Genomic DNA, 19475 nt, shown 5'->3' on the forward strand with positions numbered 1-19475 from the left:
CCCAACCCAGTGCCACTGAATCAGAAACTCTGAGGTCCAGCAATCTGTTTGACAGGCCCAGGCACTCTGATGCATGCTAAAGTAAAAGAACCTGTGATTTATCACCTTACAAAGCCCTCTATCAAATATGCAACTTGTAATTCATGTTGTATACATTACTACTGAGTTAGTCACCAATATTTCGTATGATATACAAAAGTCTTAAGACTTGCCAGATTTAAGTGGTGGTGATTCCACTTTGGGAAGTGTAGGGGATGGTAAGATCAATATAGTTTAAAAAATGAGTCTCCATAAGGGAGAATATTGCTAGGTGTGGTAGAGACCAATTTTAATTTTAAAGATATACCTTTGAACTAGTTCAGTTGATTGAAAGTTAATCTGATGTGAGAACTGCTAATACTCAGTATAAAAAGAGCTTGATATTTCTTGAAATTAGGATGATGATATTCTGTCAGTGGTAGCTTGACTGGTTTCCGTGGGGAGACATTTCTGAAGGGAAACTAATTCTTAAGGAATATCTGCTGTGTGCCAAGCATTATTAGAAGCACTGTGCTGTGCTTCTCATAATTCACCTGCTGTGAATAGATTCACCTGCTGTGTCAATCCTCAGAACACTGAGACAGATGTACCCCCATTTCACTTAAAATTGTTGATTTTATGCGTTTCCTCAGAATAATCACTGAAGTTTTAGAGCCAGAAGAAAGCTAGCAACTCAACTTCTGTTATTTTTACAAATGGGGACAGTGAAAGGTTAAGTGATTTGACCATCACATTGCTGGACAGGTGGTTCTCAAACAAATAATGCTTCATTTAAAATATGTATAAAAACTCAGGGTCTGGAATCCTGAGGTTGCCAGATTATCCATTCCTTAACAAATAACTGGCACTGTTTGCAGTAGGGGCAAACAAATTCCTTGGATAGAATTTTAAATATTTACCTCAAATCTCCCCATATAAGAAAAATGTTTAGATATGCCCTCCCTTATTCACACGGCCTAGTATAAGATAAAGCGTATGTACTTGACTTTGCCATATCAGCAATTAGGGCAAGTTTAGACATATAACTTAGCATTTTGTGTAAATCATCAGAAGGCCTTTATTGTCCTATTTGTAGATGTGGAAAAATCTAGAATCCCTTCTGTTTAATTAGTGTATTTCAGTTTGGTTAAATCAAAGTCTTACATGTGGAGTTCATTGGAGTAAACTTTTGAGTCCTTCTAACAATCAGTTTCTTCAACTATGAGGTTAAACATACAAATCATTCTAGCACAGAAGTATCAGTGTGTATACTTTTAAGTGCTGGTGATAAGAACCACTGCATGGATCTGTGGTTGAGGTTTCCACAGCCCAGAAGTGGAAAGTTAGAGTGAACAAAGGGACCATGAACTCGCCATCCTTGAGAAGACTGGCAGAGTTCTACCTTTCTATTGCTGCTGACAAAGGGAGCTGGAATCAGTTTCTTACACCCACACAAATATCCCAGTTCTTTCACAACATCAGATAAAATGCCTAATGCCATTAATATATAGGTTCATCACCAGTAAGAACTGCCCTGCTGTTTGTTATTACATGAGTAACGCTTGTCATGTGTTTTAACCGGGCTCCTTGCAAAGAATCAGTTTTCATTCACCAATTGTTTTGAATCCTGGTGGCAAGCCCAGCTCCCTTTTGTCTGAGATGTCCCCAGTGTGACCTGAGGAACCTGGGCAAAGGCCCAGCGAGAGGGTCTGGAAGCTCTAGACAAATCACCCGAGTTCTCAGACTGCCCAGAAGTCTGTGAGTACAGGAAGAGGGAGACTCTCCTCAGGGATTCCCAAATCTGGCTATCAAAGTCATTGGAGAGCTTTCAAAAAGTCCAAGCTCTGAGGCTACACCCTGAAGGTTACACATTAGTAATTTATTATTAAATTTATCGAGTGCTTACAGCAGACCAGGTCTCTTATAGGTTCTTTATAGAAATTATTGATTCATGGAACCCTCACAGCAATCTTATGTGGTAGGTACCACTGTTTCTCAGATGAAGGAATTGAGGCACAGAAAAGTTCTTGCCTGAGTTTGTGCAGCTAGGGAATGGCAGAGCCAGGATTCTGGCCCTAGAACACACATTCTTAACACTATGTTGCTCTGGGTCAGTTGAGAATGTAACATAGGCGGTCTGCTTCCTCCCATCCACCTCAGGTCTTAGCATAAAGCATATGTCATATAGCAATAAAGCTGTCATTAAAAGGAAAAGCAAATGCCAGTTGTCAGGAGTTAGGGATGGCAGAGGGCAGGGGAGTGGGTTGACTGTAAAGGGGTACTGGAAGGGGGTCTTTGAGGTGCTGGAAAGGTTCTATATTTTCTCTATAGTGTTGGTTACATGAATATACTCATGATAAAATGGCATCACACACATTGTACCAATGTCAGCTGCCTGGTTTGATATTGTACTACCGTTTTGTAAGCGTAGCCACTGGGGAAAATGGGTGAAAGGTACACAGGACTGCTCTGTACTATTTTTGCAACTTCCTGTGAATCTATATTTCAAAATAAAAAGTTAAAAAAGCCTACGCCTACTTTTGGCAAGCCTCATATCCATTAGAAGCCTGCCTCTTTAAGACTGATGTAAATAGAGATTGTTCTTGGAAGACAAACCTCATTCTGCTTAGGGTAAGAAAAGCACTCTCAGCCGGGTGCGGTGGCTCACGCCTTTGTAATCTCAGCACTTTGGGAGGCCGAGGCGGGCGGATCACGAGGTCACAAGATCGGGACCATCCTGGCTAACATGGTGAAATCCCATCTCTACTAAAAATACAAAAAATTAGCCAGGCGTGGTGGCAGGCGCCTGTAGTCCCAGCTACTCGGGAGGCTGAGGCAGGAGAATGGCATGAATCAGGGAGGCAGAGCTTGCAGTGAGCCGAGATTGTGCCACTGCACTCCAGCCTGGGCGACAGAGTGAGATTCCGTCTCAAAAAAAAAAAAAAAAAAAAAAAAAAAAAGAAAAGCACTCTTAGTCTGGGCAGAGCAGGGGCACAGGGTAGTGGTGGTAACAGGAGCTGAGCAAGGTCACCAATAGCAGAGTCAAGCACTCTGCTGACTACATTACACCATGGGGACTGGAACCAGTTCCTTATGTCTTGCAGTGATTCCCAGATGACTAGTGCCCAGCTGTCTAAATGGGAACCCTGGGGAAAGAGCTAAATGAACACAGAATCTGTGCCCCACGCCTGGGAACCCTGGGGAAAGAACCAAATGAACACAGAATCTCTGCCCCACGCCTGGGAACTCTGCCTCAGTAGGTCAAGGACAAGGTCTGTTAGGTTACATTTTAAAAGCTCCCCAGGTGATATGAGCTTGAGAACTTTAGATTACAGAGTAGTGATAAAGCTGAATCTCCAATAACATCACATGAGTCAGCCACCACGGACACTGTAAAACAAGCCCTTGGTTTTCATAGGGTTGGTATGGCTCAGAGAGATAAGGATGATGTTCATGTCATATATGAAAACATCCAAAGTGTAGATACTCTTTCTGAATGCTGGTATAAACAATGAAATATTACAATGAATTGCTTTTTCTTCTGCATCATTCCTATTTGGTTACTTACCAAGTTTCTCCTAGGAGTACATGTAGTTACAAACAAGAACATAATTCTATTACAAATGTCTTAGGCTATCAGGTGTGTTGCTAAATTAAGAATTTTTTGTCCACAAGTAACAAAATTCTCAACCAACAGTAACATAAACAACACAACACAGGGCTCTGTTAGTCTCCTATAATAAGAAGTCCAGAGTAGGTGGTTGCTGGTATTGGTCCCGCAGCTCAAGAGACTGGGGCTGACATCTCTGCAGTACTTGGCCTTTCTTTTTTTTTGAGACAGTCTCTCTCTGTCGCCAGGCTGGAGTGCAGTGGCGGCATCTCGGCTCACTGCAACCTCCGCCTCCCGGGTTCAAGAGATTCTTCTGCCTCAGCTTCCCAAGTAGCTGGGACTACAAGTGCATGCCACCATGCCCAGCTAATTTCTGTAGTTTTAGTAGAGACAGGGTTTCACCATGTTGGCCAGGATGGTCTCAATCTCTTGATCTTGTGATCCACCTGCCTCGGCCTCCCAAGTGCTGGGATTACAGGCGTGAGCTACCACACCTGGCCTCAGCCTTTTCTTTATGGCCACAAGATGACAGCTGTAGCTCCAGCCTCTCCACATTCCAGACTGGATGAAGGGGAAGGGGCAGGACCACTGGCGTTCTATTCCTGTCCCACTGGCCAGAACCATCTCTCATGGCCACCCGTGGCTGCAAAGGAGTCTAGGAAATTGAGTACCACCCTTTCACAGTCTCTATGACAGAGACAGGAAAGGAAGATGGGGAGGGATTGGGTGTAGATGAGGCAACCTACAGTGTCTGCCACGGCTTTCAAATTACAATTTATCAAGTACTTTTTAATTAAATCCACAAACAGCTGATCAGATACAAAGTAATAAATTATCACAGAAAATATTGATATGAAAATCAAGCATAAGGATCTCCACTGTCAGTAATTCTACACATATGTATTGGTCTTTCATTCTGTGTTGGAACTAATTCTAGTTGTTTAAGCACTTCTGTTCCTTCAATCAGTTGCCTACATAGGAGAAAAAAATGGAAAATTTAGTCAGTCATAAGTTTTCATATTTAGCTTAACATTCCGAAATGGGGTCCTACCCAGCTATAGCTAAGACTATTTCCTACAAATTGAATGAACATCAGCTCTAAGTATCCTAAACCTCTCTGGATGTGTGCACTTTACCACACCTGCAGTATCCAGGGCCATCATCCAGGCAGCTGGCCTCCTGCCGCAGCTCTAAGCTGGCTTCCTCCATCTGCTTGGCACCCTCCCCTCTGTTTTTCTCCCTGCAGTCAGGGTGATTTTTTTTTTTTTTGAGACAGGGTCTCACTCTGTTGCCCAGGCTGGAGTGCTGTGGCATGATCTTAGCTCACTACAGCCTTGACCTCCTGGCTTAAGTGATCCTCCTGCCTCAGCCTCCTGAGTAGCCAGTGCTTACCAGGTGTGTGCCACTAGGCCTGGCCAATATTTTTGTTTATTTATTTTTGTACAGATAGGATCTTGCTATGTTGCCCAGGCTGGTCTTGAACTCCTGGCCTCAAGCAGTCCTCCCATTTTGGCCTCCCAAAGTGCTGGGATTATAAGTGTGCGCCACCACACCTGGCCAGCATGGTCTTTTAGAAATAGCAATCTGCTTTCATTTCCTTGCTCAAAACACGACAGTAATTTCCCATTATCCTTAGGATGAAGACTATAAGTCCCTGCCATTGCCTACCAGGGCCTGCACAGTCTATCTCCCACGGCCTCTCGGGGAGGTCGGGCCACATGCTTCCTGTTGCTCTCTGCTACAGCCAGACTGGCTTTCAGTACCTCAAGAGCTCCACACTCCCTTCTTCCACAGCTCCTGCATTACTCCCCCACCCCTACCCTTTGGCATGGTCACCTCCTGGTCTTCCTTCAGACCTCAGCCCAGTCATCACCTCCTTGGGGGAAGTTTCCCAGGCCACCTTGCTTATATTAAGTTCTCTGTCGCTCCTTTAGAGAAGTTCCCAGGGTTGAAACCTTACATTTATTTGTATGCTTCTTTGATTGATTTCTAATTCTCCCATGATGGTAGGGATCATGCTTGTGCTCAGGCTCAGTGCCTAGCATAATGCCTGGCACTACCAGGCACCTGACAACATCCACTGAGTGATGAATAAAAGACAGCTCAAAGCCATGCTAGTTTCGACTGGATGTGGTGACTCATGCCTGTAATCCCAGCACTTTGGGAGGCCAAGGCAGCTGGATTGCCTGAGCACAGCAGTTTGAGACTAGCCTGGGGACAACCTGGTGAAACCCTGTCTCTAATAAAATACCAAAAATTAACTGGGCTTGGTGGTGCACACCTGTAATCCCAGCTGCTCAGGAGGCTGAGGCAGGAGAATTGCTTCAACCCAGGAGGTGGAGGTTGCAGTGAGCTGAGTTTGCACCACTGCACTCAGCCTGGGCCATAGAGCGAGACTTATCTCAAAAAAAAAAAAAAAAAAAAAAGCCATGCTAGTTTACATCTCTGTAGACAATTGCTGGCCATGAGCTAGAACTTCCTGGGGAGTGGAGCTAGACTTCTGATGGTTCTTTCAATTAAAAAAGGGCAGAGAGACAGGCCAAGACATAGGACTGGTGCCCTCTGTCAGTGCTTGGGCTTGGACAGTGGCTGAGGGGAAGGGTGCAACTTCCATCTCATGAGCCTTTATAGGAGCATGGTCAGTGCCGACACCAAGTGTACTCTAGCCCTCTCTTTGCCTTTGGGCTCTATTTTTGCCATCCCAATAAAAAACCATGACACAGGACAACATTCTGAGGATGAAGGGCAGAGGATAAATAGATTCATTTCTGTCCAAAGAGAGTATGAAGCCTGTTCTCCAACAAGACAAGATAAGCAAAGGCACAGGGACTGTTCTTGGAGTGATGGTACTATGGTTTGGTTGCAGCTTGGCTGCCAGTCTACAAATTGTTTCCAAATTACATTTCCAGCTCTGACTCAGCTTGAATATCCACCTCCTGGGATGCCACCAACTGGCTATCCTATAGGTATCCTAATATGAAACTTGTCCAACTTGAACTCATGATTTTCTCTCCCAAATCCTCCTCCTTATATTCTCTATCTTGGTGAATGGTACCACCCCTCCAACCAGTTCCCAAATCCTAGGAGTTACTCTAGACCTGCACTGCCCAATATGGATGCCACTAGCTACATATCGCTATTTAAACTTAATTATAGGCTGGGAGTTGCAGTGGCTCACACCTGTAATCCCAGCACTTTAGGAGGCTGAGGCGGGTGGATCACTTGAGGTCAGGAGTTCAAGACTAGCTTGGCCAACATGGGGAAAACCCATCTCTACTAAAAATACAAAAATTAGCTGGGCATGGTGGTGCATGCCTATAATCCCAGCTACTTGGGTGGCGGAGGCATGAGAATTGCTTAAACCCGGGAGGCAGAGGTTGCAGTGAGCTGAGATCGCACCACTGCACTCCAGCCTGGGTGACAGAGTGAGACCCTGTCTCAAAAAAAAAAAACCCTTAATTAGAATTAAATATAGTTCCTTAGTCACACTAGCCACATTTCAAGTGCCCAGTGGCCACATGTGGCCAGTGGCTGTCATACTGGGCCGTGCAGAATACAGGACATTTCCATCGTCACAGAGAGTTCTACTGGACAGTGCTGGCCTGGACTCCTCTCAGGCCCTCACCCCCGACTCTAACTTCTTTTTTTTTTTTTTTTTTGAGACAGTCTTACTCTGTCGCCAGGCTGGAGTACAGTGGCGCAATCTCGGCTCACTGCAACCTCTGCCTCCCAGGTTCAAGCGATTCTCCTGCCTCAGCCTCCCGAGCAGCCGGGATTACAGGCATCTGCCACCATGCGTGGCTAACTTTTTGTATTTTTAGTAGAGACGGGGTTTTACCATGTTGGCCAGGATGGTCTCGATCTCTTTTTTTTTTTTTTTTTTTCCTGAGACGGAGTCTCACCCTGTCACCAAGTCTGTAGTGCAGTGGTGCGATCTCCGCTCACTGCAAGCTCCGCCTCCCGGGTTGACACCATTCTGCCTCAGTCTCCCAAGTAGCTGGGACTACAGGCGCCTGCCACCACGCCCGGCTAATTTTTTGTATTTTTTTTAGTAGAGATGAGGTTTCACCGTGTTAGCCAGGATGGTCTCGATCGCTTGACCTCGTGATCGGCCCACCTCGGACTCCCAAAGTGCTTCTCTACTCTAACTTCTCAATGTCTTGAGTTTGTCCACTTATCACCTGCTCATCTGTACTGCTGATGCTTTAGAGCAGGACTTCATTTATGGCCTGTTATAACCATAGCTTCTTAAGTGGTCTTGCTACTTCCTTTTCATTCTTTGCCAATTCATTCCTCACTTCTGCTAAAGAGATTTTTTCTTCAAAATGAGAAGCTGGTTATGTCGCTCACAATGTAAAATTCTCCCATGGCCCCCATCACCTTTGCGTGAGGTTCCTGCTCAGCAGCATGGCACCCGCAGTCCATTGGGAGTTGGACCCTTGCTGACCCTCTTATCCGGCCTCCACCCTTTCCATTCTCCCCTAAGTACCAAGCTCTGCCCAGAACAGATGACTTGTAGATAAGATGCTCTCTTACTCCTCAGGGCCTCTCTGCGAAACCTCTTCACTCTTCCTAAAACTGATTTGACTCATTGTGATTTCTAGCTTCTCTATCTGGCTAACTTCTACGTGACATTTCACTCCTCAGCTCACCTTCTCATGAAACTTTCCATGACCCCCTCCCACCTTACAAGTCTCTTAAAATGAAATAATTCCCCCTCCCCCAAACCCCTTCTACAATGGGTGCACGTGAATGGAGAGCTTACAGGCTTGTTTTGTGATATTCTTTCCCTATGAGCCCACTGGGCCAGCCATGCTCTGTGGATTGCTACAGTCTTTCCTGAAGGACATTCCCAGTGTCATCCATCTGAGAGAGCGGCAGGTTCATGTACCTGGAAACTGGGCTTGGAAGGAGTGCCTGTCTTGGATCAGAGAGGAATATTCTTTATCTCTCTGGACCTTGCTAACCATGTCTGGGCTTCCAAAAGCTCAGACACACCTGGGGATACTGAGAGATGATAGGGAAGAGGCAGCCCTACAACTGGGAAGGAAGGTATCCCTGAAGGAGTTCTATTTCATTAGTTTAACTAGATTATCTAGTTGCCTATTATGTTTTACATTTCTGCTTCTCCCTTAGCACTCTGTAAGGTCTTATTTAAATATTCCAGCCCAGCCCCAACTGTGATTTGGAGACTTTGTTTTTAATTTGGAGATTTAAGGAATACACTGAGATCATACTTGAGGCAGAATAGCAGAATAGAAGGAGGGCAGTGCCTCCCTGAGGACAGAGTGGTGATAACAAAAATTAGAGATTTCTCCAAGAGGAAGGTGGATCATAGAGAACAGGAACCATCAAAAGGAGACCGAGTGCTCTCCACTCCATTGCCGCCCTGTAACGCTCTGTGTTCGCTTTGGTGAAGGGAGTTGGAGGGTGTTTTCTTACCCATCTCCCAATGCACCCTGTACACAGTTTGCATGGCCCATGTCTCACTGTCACATAGCTATTGGCTATTTGACCTTGTTTTCATAACATACTCTAAGCTCGCTGAAGAGCAGGGATTGTACCTTGTCGCTCTTTTTCCCCAGCACTGAGTACCATGAATGGCATACTGCAGGTGCCTAAAGAAATTCTGCTTGAATGAGTTGGGAAAACAGCAGAAGTGAAGGCTGAACAAAGGATGTGGGGCCAGAGGACCTGGAATGCCACTCTAGACTTCAGGCTGTGCAGATGTGGAGGTGGTAATGGAGGCACTAAATGTTTTAAAGTAGTCATGTTTGTGTTTGAGAAAGGTACCTTTAGCTGAGATATAAAAGATCACCAGGAAGTTGGTAGAGGACAGAGACTGTCAGCAACATGACAGAGATTTAAATGGTCCAAGAAATGTTATTTGGATTTAAATGATTCAAGAAATGTTATTTGGATTTAAAACTTTTTTTTTTTTTTTTAAATGGTGTCTCACCCTGTCGTCAGACTGGAGTGCAGTGGTGCGATCTCGGCTCACTGCAACCTCCCCCTGCTGGGTTCAAGCAATTCTCCTGCCTCAGCCTCCTGAGTAGCTGGGACTACAGGTGTGTGCCACCATGCCCAGCTAATTTTTGTATTTTTAGGAGAGATGGGGTTTCACCATGTTGGCCAGGATGGTCTTGAACTCCTGACCTCATGATCTACCCGCCTTGGCCTCCCAAAGTGCTGGGATTACAGGCGTGAGCCACCGCGTCCAGCCTTAAAACTAATTTAATAATGCATTTTCGAAATCAGAATACAATTTATTGGGGACCAGGGAAAACTTAAGACAAGTCATTGTTTTACGTTATGCATCTATTAATGTAATGTTATCTCTTTAAAGATATCCTATGGATGAAAATACACTTTCTATTTTTTCAACCTGGAAGTATCACAGAAAGCATTACACTAAAGGAATTACTGTGGTTAAAATGAACACTGGCATGACATTCCAGGTGCTGGAGAGTCAATAATTATCCCTATGGAGTGGGTGGAATAAATCTAACAGTTATTCAGAAAAATACAAACACTTTACATTATCTCAGGGAAGAAGAAGTAAGCCCTGCCTCATATTCACTCAGTAATTAAAGAGAGAGATGAAACACTGGAGTGATGAAAAGTATTTCTATCATCCATTTTAGGTCCACATGGCTTTAAGCATCTTGCTAATAATATTCTAATAATAACTATTACCTGTGATGTTTTCATATTTAAAATCGTTCAGTAAAAAAAGTTATATGTAACTTGAATAGTTTTCATCTACCTCTTCATGATGTCCATGGACAATTATTGAAATGACTTCACCTCTTCACTTCTACATATTAGTATATTATTAAGCACTGTGGTATGATTCATAGTAATAAAGAATTGATAATATCCTTAAGGCTGAAGATTTGATAGATGGATAGATAGAGACACAGAAAGAACATTATTGTGACTATGCCTAAATGGTTTCTGTTTTTATTTTTTTATTTTGTCTTATATATTTTTTGAGGTAGGGTCTCATTCTGTTGCCCAGGCTGGAGTGCAGTGGCACAATCATGGCTCCCAGGCTCAAGCAATCCTCCCACCGAAACTTCTTCAGTAGCTGGGACTACAGGCACACACCACCACACCCAGCTAATTTTTATTTATTTATTTATTTATTTATTTATTTAAGACAGAGTCTTGCTCTGTCGCCCAGGATGGAGTGCAGTGGCACGATCTCGGCTCACTGCAACCTCTGCCTCCTGGGTTCAAGCAATTATCCTGCCTCAGCCTCCCGAGTAGCCGGGACTACAGGTGCATGCCACCACGCCTGGCTAATTTTTTGTATTTTTAGTGGAGATGGGGTTTCGCCATGTTGGCCAGGCTGGTCTGGAACTTCTGCCCTCGAGTGATCTGCCTGCCTCAGCCTCCCAAAGTGCTGGGATTACAGGTGTGAGCCACTGCACCCGGCCTATTTATTTATTTTTGAGACAGAGTCTTGCTGTGTCACCCCGGCTGGAGTGCAGTGGCATGATCTTGGCTCACTGCAACCACCTCCCAGGTTCATGTGATTCTCCTGCCTCAGCCTCCGGAGTGGCTGGAATTACAGGCACATGCCATCATGCCTGACTAATTTTTGTATTTTTAGTAGAGACGGGGTTTTACCATGTTGGGCAGGCTGCTCTGGAACTCCTGGCCTTAAGTAATTCACCTGCCTTGGCCTGCCAAAGTGCTGAGATTACAGGCATGAGCCACCATGCCAAGCCAGATAATTTTTAATCTTTTTGTAGAGATGGGGTCTCGCTATGTTGCCCAGGCTGGTCTTGAACTCCTGGGCTCAAGCAATCTCCCACCTCAGCCTCCAAAAGTGCTGGGATTATATGCCTGAGCCACTGTGTCTGGCCAGTTTCTGTGTTTTTATAGATAGCAAACTTCTTGCAAAATATTTCTTAAATACTTTTGTCTCTATTTGTATTATTTTTGCATTTAAGCCCTATTTTTAGCTACCTATACACTATATACAATACTTATCCAAATATTTTTAAATGACATTTTTACAGGTGTGAATATTATATAAATAGATCTACAATATACATACCCAAAAGCCACAAATTTTCTATCTAGATAAGGAGTTGCTTGCAGTGTGATATAGAATTGTGACCCGTTGCTGTGACGGCCTTTGTTGGCCATTCCAAGTACTCCTCTTTTATTATGAGGAACTGAAAAGTTTTCATCTAGGAAAGACAATAATCAGTAGGTCATTAGCACATTTCTATTATCTCAATTTATTGTAACATATAAGGAACAAATAGAACCCTTGGTAACACTCTCAATCATATTTATCAATGGATTCCAAATTGTAAATATTCTATTCATTTCAAATTATTTTCAAACATGCAAATGGGCTGTTTAAAAAAACCTGTAAAACCTTATTAGAACTATTGGAACATTCAGCTTTAGTTTGTCTTTACCATAAACAAGTGTGCTAAGAAAATTAATAATGTACAAGGAAATATATACAGTATTCTAATCAAGAATAAAGGTCAGCAAACTTTCTCGTGCTGTTTTGGTATTTCTTTCAAACTACCACCATACTCATTAAAAACACCTCCTCTGAGAAGTCTTTTGTGGACCTGACCTTTCCCCCGAACCCCCCAAGCATCTTACACATCGTTCTTGGACAGTCCTTATAACACTCGATGTAATTATTGGTTTACATGGCATTTCTTCTCTAGTAGGTGAAGGCAGGAACCTTGTCTCCTCATGGCTTTAGCTCCAGGCTTCTCAGCACATTAATTGGCATAAATGTGGCCCTAAATGTTTGGGCAGATTTCCATTCCATGTACTTTCCCATTCCATGTAGTTTAAAAATGTTGATGATGAAAGGAAATTAATTGTTTATTTTTAGTGATCTTCAAATAAAATTTTTTTTTTGTTTTTTGAGAGGGAGTCTCGCTCTGTCGCCCAGGCTGGAGTGCAGTGGTGCGATCTCAGCTCACTGCAAGCTCCGCCTCCCGGGTTCACGCCATTCTCCTGCCTCAGCCTCCCGAGTAGCTGGGACTACAGGCGCCCGCCACCATGCCCGGCTAATTTTTTTTTTTTTTTTTTTTTTTGTATTTTTAGTAGAGACAGGGTTTCACTGTGTTGGCCAGGATGGTCTCAATCTCCTGACCTCATGATCCGCCTGCCTCGGCCTCCCAAACTGCTGGGATTACAGGCGTAAGCCACCGTGCCTGGCCAATCTTCAAATAAATTTTAATCTGAAACCTTATTTGGATTGACCAAGATTTTGTGGAAAGCAATAGCTTTTTTAGTGTAAGATTTAGAAGTAAAAAGAGTTGTATGGTGATTATTAGGCTACCAATTTGAAGACGTACCATTCCCAGCTTTGCCTCCAAGTTCAAATACACAGAAGGAAATAATGGATGAGAAATTCAGTGAATTTTTTCATTCAATAACTTCATAAATTTCTGAGAATAACTGAGAAATATGAATATTAACTGTCTATAAGATTTTATTAAACTGCAACTGCTGTTATTAAGTTTCAAAACTAAGCAAACTAAGTGATTAAGCCATATCTGGGTAGTTACTTTCAGCCTGGTAAGTTGAAAACTGAATAAAGACCCCTGAAACCTTATGAAATGCTGATGAGGCATGTTTGTACAAATGAGTCTATATAATTACGCTGATGCTCCTTATTCATTTCAGTGAAATAAAGAAAAAAACTCATAATTTCACAGAAAATTGCATGAAATGGAAATCTGCCCACAGCAAAGACTCAGAGAGTTTTTCTTTTTTTTTTTTGTGAGATGGAGTCTCGCTCTGTTGCCCAGGCTGGAGTGCAGTGGCGCGGTCTTGGTTCACTGCAAGCTGCGCCTCGGGTTCATGCCATTCTCCTGCCTCAGCCTCCCTTAGTAGCTGGAACTACAAGCGCCCACCACCACGCCCGGCTAATTTTTTGTATTTTTAGTGGAAACAGGGTTTCACCGTGTTTGCTAGGATGGTCTCTATCTCGTGACCTCGTGATCTACCCGCCTCGGCCTCCCAAAGTGCTGGGATTACAGGCGTGAGCCACCGCGCCCGGCCCAGATTCAGAGAGTTTTAACAGAATGGTATTTGTCATTGCTTTTACATATTCTGATTTATTTTTCTTAAATTCTTTAAAAATTGGGAAAGAAAATTGATGAGTTGTAACATTTTTATAAAAAATTCTGTGATTGTGGGATAATTTTAAAGCAGTTAATCATAATACCTATCAAAGAAACTGCTACCTATGTGAAAACCCATGTATAAAACAGTGCAAAAAGTGCCTAGAGCAGCCAGGCACAGTGCCTCATGCCTGTAATCCCAGCACTTTGGGAGGCCAAGGTGGGTGGGTCGCTTGAGGCCAGGAGTTCGAGACCAGTCTGGCCAACATGGCAAAACCCCGTCTCCACTAAAAACACAAAAATTAGCTGGGTGTGGTGGTGCATGCCTGTAATCCCAGCCACTTAGGAGGCTTAGGCACAAGAATCGCTTGAACCCAGGAGGCGGAGGTTGCAGTGAACTGAGATTGCGCCAATGCACTCCAGCCTGGATGACAGAGAAAGACTCGGTCTCAAGAAAAAAAAAAAGTGCCTAGAGCCCTCTCATCTCCTGAACACATTTATTTAGGACAGCATGGAAATCCTTAGAGACAATTTGAGAACCATTGCTATAAAGGGACAGAATAAATTATATTTTTAAAAGGTGCAGGTAGTCCCTGACTTAGAAACTTAAAAATGTATGGACCTGAAAAAAAGTGTGAAAACTAAACGACTGTGTGTGGATTCTCTAAGTCCAGAATGTGTATGTGAATCTTAAGAACCCGAGGCTATGCTGCTTCCAGCCAGGCAGTAATGCCAGGGCCTACGGAAATCGCTCAGTGGTCATGCCGTAACTGGCCTACTTGGCATGATCTTGTATGCATCAAATAAAATGATGTGTAAGAAAGAACCGTTTTAAATATTAACTCTAACTAGCTTTGCAGACATAAAGTATTACAAGACAAGGGTAATTTACGTGTTATTTTGTTCTGCCGTGTCTCTCTGACTCACTCTTTAATCGTCTGCTCACCTCGGTATTTCTCGATCTTTCCAACCCCTCTGCTTTCCTTCTGCCTCTTTACACTTCTTTTCAAGCTTCCATAAAGCTCTAAAATTAAAGAGCTATAATTTAAATTTAAATTAAATTAAATTTTTTTAGAGAAGGCATCTTGCTAGTTGTTCAGACTAGTCTTGAACTCCTGGGCTCAAGGCCTCCTGCCTCAACCTCCTGAGTAGCTGGGACTACAGGTGTGTGCTACCACACCTGGCTAGCTCTAATTTTTTTTAAAAAAATTATTTACCAACATAAATTTCCCTGATTTTTTTTCTAATAGTAAATTTTTGGTACATTTCATTTAACACTTAAAACATTAAGTTGCTTTATACTTCCATGATATCAAAATGCACCCTTTGGCAGTAAACAGCACTGCTGAAGGGGGCTGAGCCTCTTTAGGTTTAAACAGAGTGAAAGCCCCCATAGAGGAATTTCTGTCCTCTTTGTTTGGTGAGGAGTGAGGCCACTGGTCAGTAAATAGGTTTGATTCAAGCCTATTTTCTCCTGAGTGCTTCTGCCAGGGATAAAGTATGTGTGGGAACAACCTACACAGAAACCAATAGCTGAAACTTGCCTAAGTAGAAAGAGCCTATTTATTTAGGACTTTAAAAGTTGTGATTCAAAACAAAGCAAAACAGACTTTCCCTAGGTTAAAAAAAAATTAATTCGTTTATAAAATGATAATCTAATTAAATGATACATTACTTATTGCATTATTTTTGTGTTAAGCTTAACAAAAGTGAGTTTTGTGGTTGCAGTTTTTCACAGCCCCAGTTTTAATTCTGCATCTCATGGAAGTAGGAACCCATGAGAGAAATGTGGAGGAAGGACTGGCTGGCTGCTGCATTCACATTCCCAGGCAGGTGAAGGGATGAGGGAGAAAGACCCATGCCTTAGCTGTTCTGAGGACTAGCTGTGCTCTCGCTTTCACAGTTACTCATCTTTCCTTCTGGAACATCTCTTCTTCCCACTTGATTGCTTCCTGGATTTTTTCTAATTTTGTCCTACCAGACCAACCGAATAATAAAAACTTCACTGAATGCACTGGGACTCCATGGGCACAGTGAGGACAGCAAAGATTCTATCTGGAGAGCAGATACTACAACAGTCTAAGGATGGGGTGAGGGATAATCAGCAGAGACTCAGGGGTGTCTAGGAGGTCAGGCAAGGAGATGAGTGAACAGATCAGTCTCCTACTGGACAGGAGGCCCACGTTCCATCTGAGGCTGTGCCTCCGAGCACAAAGCATTTGGGTGCTCTGATAATGGCTGTGGGGTGGAGAGGTACAGTGGATTCTCATCAGGGATTGGGGCCAGGAGAGTCCTTTCTCCATCTGCAACGTGTTGCTGCAGACCCAACTCAAAGCTTCTCTGTGCTGCCGCACCCAACTCTCCAGGCAGCTATTCTTTCTTTTCCCACAGCACTCAGTTCCCTCCTCTCTAACAGCAACTGGCACAGCACCTGTAGTTGATCTGTTTTAACATCTGTCTGCACAAAACTACTACAAGCCTTCCGAGTAGAAACTCGGTTATACCATCTTTGTTGCCACAGGCCCTAGCACCATGTGAGCACCTACTTTGGAGTTTAGTATTTTATGAATGACTAAAGGAATGGTGTCACTTGCATGTTTTCATTTGATAGAGCTGTCTGCAGGAATTCAGAAGGAAAGTAGCTATTACTTTTTCCCTTTCACTTTGGCCATCGATTCAATAAAGATATCTTTTCGGCCGGGTGCAGTGGCTCTCGTCTGTAACTTTGGGAGGCCGAGGTGGGCAGATCACGGGGTCAGGAGTTTGAGACCAGCCTGACCACCACAGTGAAACCCCGTCTCTACTAAAAATACAAAAAAATTAGCTGAGCATGGTGACACGCACCTGTAATCCCAGCTGCTCAGGAGGCTGAGGCAGGAGAATCACTTGAACCTGGGAGGTGGAGGTTGCAGTGAGCCGAGATCACGCCATTGCACTCCAGCATGGGTGACAGAGAGACTCCGTCTCAAAAAAGGAAAAAAAAAAAGATATCTTTTCATAACCTTTTCATTTTATTCAAATATAGACACAAAAAGCCACAGAAAACTAATGTATAAAGTTATCATAAGGCATATACCCTTTTAACTACCACTCAGGCCAAGAAAAGAAACTTTGCTGGCTTCTGCCCAAAGTTCCTTGTCAAGCCCCTCTCTCACCCAAAAGGAATCATTCCCCCGACTTTTATATAACCATGCACTTAATGTTTCCTTATAGTTTTAACATCCAAATATGCATTCCTAAGCACTATAGTTTAGTCTTTCCCATTTAAAAAAAATTGGTTATGCTTTTAAGCTTCTTTTAATCTGCAGGTTCTTACCTCCATCCCTTTCTTTTCCTTACATTTATCTATTACTAATGAACCTGAGCTGTTTAACCTCGAGAATTTCTCCCAGTCTGGAGTCTGTTGATTGCACACATGGTACAGTCCAGCATGTTGCTCTGTCCTCTGTCCTGTCAGTTCTGCTATAATACTTGTTTTGAAAATGCACATTTGCTTCAACTTGATGGATATATTAGGGAAAGCCTTGTACATTATGGATTTCGCCCCCACTTACATTCTTCCACCATGAGAAACACTAGGGAAATGAAAACTGCATTCAGCTACATGGAGCCACATAGGAACACACACACCTCAGATATCTACCAGCTACCCTGGAGCTGTTCTGAGCCTCTCCCACCCACACCTAGGGTTCTGATTGCAGAAAACCCTCCTTCCGCCACTTCAAAATTGCTCAAAAGCTGCAACTCTTTCCATACCCACCTTCATGAACTTCAGGTCTTTTGCAAGGTATGTATGTTTCGTGACCATTTAACATATGTAAAACTGTATTGCTGGGTTTTTTGGGCTACTATCCTGTTTTTTAATGCCATCAAGAAAGTTTTTCTTAAACCTCATTTTCACAATAAACTCAGTGGTTTTTGTTGTACAATGCTGCAAAGTGTAGATTTTTTTGGTTTGTGTTTTGTTTTTTGAGGCAGGGTCTCAGTCTGTCACCCAGGATGGAGTCCATCATGGCTCCATGATCATGATGATCATGGCTCACTGCAGCCTTGGACCTCCCCAGCTCGAGATCCTCCTACCTCAACCTCCCAAGTAGCTAGGACCACAGGTGCATGCCACCACGCCCAGCTAATTTTTTTTTTTTTTTTAAGAGATGGGATCTCGTTATGTTACCCTGGCTGGTTTTGAACTCCTGGGCTCAAGCAATCCTCCCACTTCAGTCTCCCACAGTGCTGGGATTACAGGCATGAGCCACCATGTCTGGCCAAAGTGTGGAGATTTTTTAGGAACACATATGTCGCAATACAACAGAACTGACTGTATTTCTTGCAAATCGGCAGCTGAGTCCAGAGGCTTAGTCAGACTCATATTCTTTGGTAGTGTGTTCTTTCAACAGAAGCCTCATCATGTCTGGTTGTCTCTGTTTTTGTGAAATTAGTAGATTGATGCAGCAAATGCTTAGATCCATTATTTCACTGGGGGCAGCAAAATGGTGACATTCCAATTCTATTATTTCCTTTTCATTTATCAGTGGCAATACTTTTATAAAGAGATGTTTCTCCCCTTACCTACAATTTAGTACAGTTCATATAGGAAAGGTGGTGCTTGATTCTTTCCCTATACATACCACTTTTCATGATAAATTCATTTTCTAGTATTCCTCCAAAGGTAACCCATTAGCCTTTATTTTATAATATCATTATAAACTCACAGATTTGAGATATTTGTTGGGTTTTGATCAACTGCAATTATTATTGTTTGTGAAGCTCCAATTACTCCATCTTTGGTCAGTGAGACCCTCTTCAAATTGGCTCCTGAGGCCTTTTGACATGACCCCAGTAATCTTTCAGAAAAGAAATCTCCACACTTTGCAGCATCGTACAACAAAGGCCACTTTTGCTATCTAATAGAACATGAGGTTCCAGGCTCATTTTGTAGATTTCCCCCGTGAGATCTGGCATCTGCCATTTCTCCCAGAGACTCTGGTTTCTTTAAGTAAGAAATGACATTTCAAAACAACAATCTAAATTCTAGGACTACACATTGCTACTGGGTTGTGGCCATTGTTTATAGACCTTTTCAGTGGATAGAGCTATATATATACACATTTGATACTTCTTGAGTTTAAAGTCATGTTCAGGACTATGGAATATTCTTTTTTTTTTTTTTCTTGAGATGGAGTCTCGCTCTTTCGCCCAGGCCGGACTGCAGTGGCGCTATCTCGGCTCACTGCAAGCTCTGCCTCCCGGGTTCACGCCATTCTCCTGCCTCAGCCTCCCGAGTATCTGGGACTACAGGCGCCCGCCACCGCGCCTGGCTAATTTTTTGTATTTTTAGTATAGACGGGGTTTTGCCGTGTTAGCCAGGATGGTCTCGATCTCCTGACCTCGTGATCTGCCCGCCTCGGCCTCCCAAGGTGCTGGGATTATAGGCACCGCGCCCGGCCAGGACTATGGAATATTCTTATTAGCCTCTATTACATTTCATCTCTATCTTCTTTCTTCCACATTGAGAATCCTGATTCTCAAGGACAAACAAAATGATGAAATTTTTATATTCCATAATTACTCAATGACTTTATCCCACATTACATATACAACAGTCTCAAAATAACAATACTAATAATACCATCACCAGTGTACTTTACTGAGAATAGTTAAAAAATAAAACTTGTATATATTCATTTTCTTCTATTTTTTAAATAGACTTTGTCTCCACTGCCCAAGCA

General features: G+C 43.1%; 1 protein-coding gene across 5 annotated transcripts in view, besides 1 other annotated feature; it reads right to left on the minus strand.

Annotated features, from left to right (window-relative positions):
• Positions 1 to 1876: 1876 nt before the first annotated feature.
• PPIL6 (peptidylprolyl isomerase like 6) overlaps positions 1877 to 19475 on the minus strand; it is a 50957-nt gene continuing 33358 nt past the window's right edge. For 2 of the 5 annotated variants that reach the window (NM_001286360.1, NM_173672.5), the window contains 2 exons: positions 11697 to 11832; positions 1877 to 4599 (listed from right to left, as the gene is read on the minus strand). In NM_001286360.1, coding sequence (NP_001273289.1) covers positions 4488 to 4599; positions 11697 to 11832 — 248 coding nt within the window. In that variant the 3' untranslated portion in view covers positions 1877 to 4487. Of the gene's footprint in view, positions 4600 to 11696; positions 11833 to 14692; positions 14771 to 16590; positions 16711 to 19475 lie in introns of all 5 variants that reach the window. The other 3 variants (NR_104429.1, NM_001111298.2, NM_001286361.1) reach the window with 3 other exon arrangements.
• Positions 8808 to 9102: a silencer, noted in NCBI's record as "tiled region #15445; HepG2 Repressive non-DNase unmatched - State 13:Ctcf". NCBI's record gives its function as "represses a minimal TATA promoter and a strong SV40 promoter by Sharpr-MPRA in HepG2 cells {active_cell/tissue: HepG2}" and the evidence as "EXISTENCE:reporter gene assay evidence [ECO:0000049][PMID:27701403]".

The sequence above is a fragment of the Homo sapiens genome, chromosome 6 (assembly GCF_000001405.40).
Source record: "Homo sapiens chromosome 6, GRCh38.p14 Primary Assembly".
Classification (NCBI taxonomy): domain Eukaryota; kingdom Metazoa; phylum Chordata; class Mammalia; order Primates; family Hominidae; genus Homo; species Homo sapiens.